The following is a 7,028-nucleotide window of genomic DNA, read 5'->3' on the forward strand; positions in this document are numbered from 1 at the left end:
CTCAGTGGGATTTGTGCTGTTGTCTTCTGTTTTACAAGTTTTGCTATTGATTACCAAACAATGTAAGAAGTGTATCATTAAATATTAATATTTAACCTTAAACTTTTGGAATATCATAGGGAAATTTATGCCTATAAACTTGGATATATGTGAGTGTGCTCAGAAGAAAATTTTGGATATGAAAGAGGGATGAAAGTATGAAAGCAATAAACTAAAAATCATGAAAACTCAAAGATAAGATAGCACAAACACGTACTAGGTACTAGAAGAGCTAAAAACCCATATATACAAATTCCAACTCCATGAAAATAAGTCCCCCTCACTTCTCTCTCTCTCTTTGTTTCTCTCTTTCTCTCTCTCTCACACACACACACACACACACACACACACACACACACACACTCCTTTACCTCTCTAAATATGTACTTGATTAAGACACATTAACTGGCCTGTGTGGGATGAAGCAGCATGTGATCCCAGTAATATGGAAGACCCAGGAAATCAGTTCTCTTTCCTAAAAGAAATAGCCTCAAATAGCCGCAACAGCAGAACTTAAGTCATCCCTTTACAGTCTGAACCTGACAGCTGTTGCTAAGCACTAGAGAACATTGCAGGGAATATTAGGATCCTTAATATTTAAGTTAATAGATCCTGTCCTTGCTCATTGTTAACCTCTCTCTCTCTACCCTTATTCACTTGTTTAAAAGTAGCTTAATTCTTTCTGGCATTATGTTTTTACAGTGTTAACCTACTGTAACTTTTGCATTTTTTGGCCTGACTTCTACTCCCACCCCAATATCTGCAGAGGCATCCCTTTGCCCCAGAAAACAGAGATCCTGTGATGGTCTTTTGATGTTTCAGTGTGACCAGGCTACAGTCACCAGTTATTTAATCAATCACTAATGCAGGTGTTGTCATGAAGACATTTTATAGATGTGATTGAAGTTATAGTCCATAATCAGTTGACTTACAGCAGGGGAGACTAGATAATATGGTGAGCCTGATTCACTAACTTGAGAAGCCTTAAAAGCAGGGTTGATGCTTTTCTGAGAGAATGAATTCTGTCTGTGGACAGCAGCTTTAGCCTATTCTTACTGACAGCCTGCTCTAAAGATTTTGAAGCTGCTTAGCCAGTTTCTTGTAATAAATCCCTTAATATGTATCTCCTCTGATTCTCCTTTTCTGGTCAAACCCTGATGGATGCAGGTCTCATAGCAGAAATGCAAAGAGAGGCATTGTTCCTCAAGTTCTGATACTCTGAATAGATGTTTTTCAATCTGCGATAAGACAATAAATTCAGAGAGGTTCTTTTAAGATGAAAGATTTGAAAAATTGGCCTTAGTAATGACAATAACCAAGTTTGGAGATAATTCAGGATATGACTTGCAGCAATATTTCTCAATTCTAAAATGTCTATACTCTTGGCCTTTTTAGAATTTACTTCCTGATTAGTAGCTCTAGGTTATGTGTCAAGATTCTACGTTCCTTATTAATGTGCCCGTGGTTTGGAAATTGCTGGTCTCCTGACCACACTTCTGATAGCAAGGACATAAAAGAAATTGTGTGGTCAAAGAAAGTATTCTAGACCCTCTTCCTTGGGCTCAAGTCTTCAGTTTGGGTAACATGTTAATTAGGCTGAAGGGAAAGATGAAGGCAGGCAGTTGTGTCCAGTTCACACATGGAATCCCTGAAAGTCTTGCATTATTGCAATGCTACTGTCTAGAACAGCCTTGGCAAAGAGAAGACCGAGAGCTAAGCTAGATGCAGGAACCTGGATTGAAAGCATTGTTAGATTTCTCCACAGTGCATCCAAGAGTACTAGGTTCTCTGAGAACCTTTCTGAAAGGGTACAGAGATACTGAAAGCTTAGATAAACTTGCTGATTTCTGGAAGCAGGGTCCAGAAGCTTTGGCACTGGGGTAGATGCCAGGAACCTCAGACTCCAGTGATAAATGAAAACACATCACTTTGTCTAGAGAGACAGGAGCAATAAAATCTTAGTGTTCATGCAGCAGGATGAGATTCAATCTGCACCCAATACAAGTAGATATGAGACATTCCCTATAAGCTTACACAGATAAGGGAGGCCTCCTCCAACATGCCATCCTGAAGAACAGCCAGTGAATAGGAAGAAAATATAAATCTATGAATATTTCCATAATTATTAAGATTTCTCCCTATCATAAAAACTTATGACATAATTCTACGTGGGTAGGAAAAAGAGGTGAATTTAAATGATTAATGGGAGCATTATTGGTTTTATAGCTCAGGAGTATTATGGGTTAAATCTTCTTTACGCATTGGCTCATAATCCTAATCAGTATTTATTACTTTATTTCGTGGAGAAGTATAAACGAATGATAAAAAGTGAAATGTTGGAACTCAGCCTAATAATAAATTAGACATTGAATTAGCAGCATTACTCGACATAGAGCTTTAAGTTGATTCAAACTAGAGTTCTGCTTCTGTCAATGGAAAAATCAATTATTTTCTAAGACCCCTCCTGTTGAAAACAACTAGCAAATTTGGATAAAATGGCTTACAAGAAAATGCGTTTGGAGTTTCTAAGACAGTGAGGAATGAAAGGCTCAGGATCTGGGGGAGATGGGAAGACCATAGTTATGCCTACTATTGGTAGTCTCTTGTCTCTTTGAAACAGCTGTCTTCTCTGAATGTGCTGTCTGAGAGGCTCAGAAACTTAGAATTTTAGAGAGATTCACTTAACAGGGAAAACAAAGACTGAAGTTTATTGCTGTTAAAAGAAAAACCTTAGCCAAATTAAATTTTACAGAGTTTAATTGAGCAAAGAATGATTGGTGAAGCGGGCAAGCCTCCAGCGTAGGCTCAGAGAGACTCCAGCACAGCCATGTAGTGGAAGAAGATTTGTGGACAGAAATAGGAAAATGATGTACAGAAAAAATGGAAGTGAGGTACAGCGATAGCCAGATTGGTTACAGCTTGACGTTTGCCCTATTCAAACATGGTTTGAACAGTTGGCACCCTTTGATTGGCCAAACTCAGTAATTGGCACGAGAGTAGGTTACAGTCTGTTTATACCTCCATTTAGGTTATAGTTTACTATGTACAGAGAAACTTTTAGGCTAAACATAAAATATATAAGGAGACAGCTTTAGGCTAAATTTTATTGAACAGAGCTTATCCAGGAAAAGAAGTCCTGGTAAATACCCAGCGTTTGACTCTAACTTGCCAAGTGAACAGGAAACACACCAACAGGCCTAATAGAACCAGCACTATATTACAATTCTAAATCTTTAGGTACGTAATAATGTGGTCTCAAATTAAATAAAACAAAAATTAACAGAATAAAAAGGAAAATGTGTAATATAATTATTACAAGGGTTTAATACCTGATAACTAATGGAACAGTAACTGATAGAACAACCAGATAAAACAATCAACAACCATGTAGAAAAGTTGGGCAAAATAAATAATTGCCCTAATAAGCCTAAATAGAACACTATATCCAAAACTTCTGGATATGATTTCTAAGTACATCTGGCATGGTTACTGAAGTTGACTATGTACTGTGCCATAAAACAAATATAAGATTAATTTGGTCTATCCCTTCTGGAAAGCAATCTATTCACCTATTTTAAGAACTTTAATGTATTCTCATTTTTTACTAGTAAGTTATTTTTGCTAAGAACATAATAAGAGATGAATAATTTTTTTCGATTTTTGTTTTAGGACATGACACAGCATTTTTATTAGGCTTAATGTTCCAGGCCAGGCACGGTGGCTCATGCCTGTAATCCCAGCACTTCAGGAAGCCGAGGTGAGTAGATAACCTGAGGTCAGGAGGTCGAGACCAGCCTGGCCAACAAAGTGAAATCCCATCTCTACTAAAAATTAGCCGGGTGTGGTGGTGTATGCCTGTAGTCTCAGCTACTCAGGAGGCTGAGGCAGGAGAATCGCTTGAACCCAGGAGGCAGAGGTTGCAGTGAGTTAAGATCACACCACTGCACTCCAGCCTGGGTGACAGGGAGAGACTCTGTCTCAAAAAACAAAAACAAAACAATGTTCCAAACGTGAAAAGTAACTTTTAAATATATCAATTTAGTTAACATTATGTTGTCATTAATATCATGTTCTTAAACAAATGTAAGAATATTGGAATATGTTCTCAATCAAATTTTGAATAAAATAATATGAAATGTCCAAATTCTAATTATGTAGAGTAATTTAAATGCTACCTCCCAGCATCTATCCAGTGACTGACATATACTAGGTGTTCAATCTTGTGCAGGCACTCCCAGACAGAAGTAGTTTTTCTCTTTTCTCTCTAAATTTCCACTGAGTATTGTGCTATTTTTTTCCTTGAATTACATTTATTCATGAAGATGAGATTCTCCATATTGATATACTAAGAAGCATGGTACTAAATTTAAACTGGAATTCCACAGAGGTTCCAAAATCTTACAAAGTCTTTCCACACTGTAGAAGTGAGAACACTAGTTATTCACTTTCTTCTGATCTTTTTTAAAAAAGTATTGTAATCTATATTTTAATGTGCTCACAAAATATGAAGGCCATGATTGAGTAGCTACATTTATCGTGAACTAGCTTAAAAGTACATGATAAGTAGAAGTGAATTAAAATCACATGCTGCTTAACAAAGGGGACGTGTTTTGAGCAGCGGCGTCAGGTTGTTTTGTATTTGTGTTAAGGGAGGAGACCACTCCTCATATTGCCTTATGCCCAACTTCTGCCTCCAAAGGAAGAAGTAAAAACTAAAAGGCAGAAATGAAATCCACAGGCAGACAGCCCGGTGCCACACCCTGGGCCTGGTAGTTAAAGATCGATCCCTGACCTAATCAGTTATGTTAGCTATAGATTCCAGACATTGTACAGAAAAGCACTGTGAAAATCCCTGTCCTGTTCTGTTCCATTCTAATTACCAGTGCATGCAGCCCCCAGTCACGTGCCCCCTGCTTGCTCAATTGATCACAACCCTCTTACGCAGAACCCCTTAGAGTTGTGAGCCCTTAAATGGGACAGGAAGTGCTCACTCGGGGAGCTCGGTTTTTGAGACGTGAGTCTTGACGATGCTCCCGGACGAATAAAGCCCTTCCTTCTTTAACTCGGTGTCTGAGGGGTTTTCTGTGGCTTGTCCTGCTACAGTGTGAACATCATAGAGTGCACTTACACAAACCTACATGGTACAGCCTACCACATACCTAGGCTAGATGGTACAGCGTATTCCTCCTAGCCTGCAAATCTTCACAGCAGGTTACTGTGCTGGATACTGTAGGCAACTGTAAAACAATGGCAAATATTTGTGTCTCTAACATACCTAAATATAGAAAGGTACAGTAAAAATACAGTATTATAATCTTATGGGACCACTGTCATATACCTGGTCTGTCATTGACAGAAACGTTATTATGCTGTGCATGACTGCAATTCATTCCAAATGTATAGTATTTTTGGCTCTCCAGCAATTTCTTTATTCATTCATCTTAGAATATGAGGCATATGCTTTTTGCAGTGTTTCTGGGAGCAGATCAAGTCACTGAACTTTCTCTCTCCACGACTTCCTTTTATTTCCTCACTCTTCCCAGAGTCGTGTATTAACTCAGAAGGGAAACAGAACTGTTACTTCAAACTCTAGATAACTCCACTGAGGCATTACCACTCATGCATTTTGCCTATTAAAGTGTTAGAGTGCAGCATGTTTCTTGGATATTCCTTTTGTGACAAAGACTTCCTCCAATTGAAGAGCTTTATCATCATGAAACACCACTTCCTAACATTTTATAAAATATCTGCAGGGAAAAAGTACATATTATGCCATCAGAAAATCTCCTCTCAAACAAACAAAAAAGGTAACAAACCCAAAAAGGGGTCTCTTGAATGATGAACACAAACCATAAGGTGAAATTGATGAACAAAAGTCCTGTAAACAAGAAATACTCTTATTTTTGTCAATTTCTAGTTTTCATATTTAATTTTTCACCTTTCTTAATTGAAACAAGGCAAACAAGTGTGTCGCATTCACATTTCTATTCCTCTATTGTTATGTACAGCGTGTAAATACTGCTTTATAATTGTCACTTAAATTAACATATCAATCAGCATAAAGAGGACAAACAACACAGGAGTGAAAGGCTGTCTGCATATGACAGCGTGGATATTGTGGGGTAGGAAGTAAGAGGTGAAGGGACCTCTGAGAATAAAGTGAAAGAATTCTTAACTCTTTATATGAAAATTATCTTTTATTAAAGGCTGAAAAAGCTGTCCTTAAGCAAAGTTGCATTAAATTATAAACATCAACCACTGCATTAGATTACAACATTAGCCAGTGCCTCACAGTATGCTCCTCATATCATCAAGGGACACAAAACAGTCAAGATCCCATCCAGTGGACTGCAGTGTTTTACAGTAAAAAACTGAAAACCAAACCTTCAAATTATTTGTGCTCCCACTTACTGGCATTGTTTCTGTTGTGCTGGTGGAGGTTGGCGTTGTTGTTTCCATTGTCTGGAATAACCAATTGCAAGTTAAGTGCTGCAATTGTGAGCTGCCTGCTGACACTTCCAAAATGACATTTCCATTCTTCAGGATTCGGAAGTTAAACAATACAGAGAATAATTTGTTTTAAAATTGAAATATTAATCCATTTCACATGCCACCCTTGAAGTCGTGTGTTCTGAAACTTGCACAAAAAATTGATGAAAACAGACTAAAAAGCAAAGTAAGAAAAATAGGAAGCATTTGCTGCAGGTAATTTGCACACACACACACAGATGTACACACTTACTCGCAATGTTTAACACATAACGGTGAGATTGTTGCTATATCCATGTATATAATCATTACAGGTAATATTAGGTCTAAATACTATTTTGTTTTGAGTAAAGTGACACTGGGTAATGAAAGATAATTACTAATAAAAAAATTCCCTACTATGGAATCTCTCACCACATCCTCTCAAGTCCCCCTTTGCTCTCATGCTCAAAACATTTGATATTGGGACGGTTTCATTTTCAGTACCCTACTGTGAATGG

The 7,028-nt window shown here is 37.6% G+C and overlaps 1 annotated feature.

Moving 5' to 3' along the window:
- Window positions 5,774-6,640: an enhancer, noted in NCBI's record as "OCT4-NANOG hESC enhancer chr7:52182066-52182932 (GRCh37/hg19 assembly coordinates)". NCBI's record gives its function as "activates a minimal SCP1, AML or CMV promoter by ChIP-STARR-seq in naive H9 embryonic stem cells {active_cell/tissue: H9 hESC(naive)}" and the evidence as "EXISTENCE:reporter gene assay evidence [ECO:0000049][PMID:30033119]".

Source organism: Homo sapiens, chromosome 7 (assembly GCF_000001405.40).
Source record: "Homo sapiens chromosome 7, GRCh38.p14 Primary Assembly".
Classification (NCBI taxonomy): domain Eukaryota; kingdom Metazoa; phylum Chordata; class Mammalia; order Primates; family Hominidae; genus Homo; species Homo sapiens.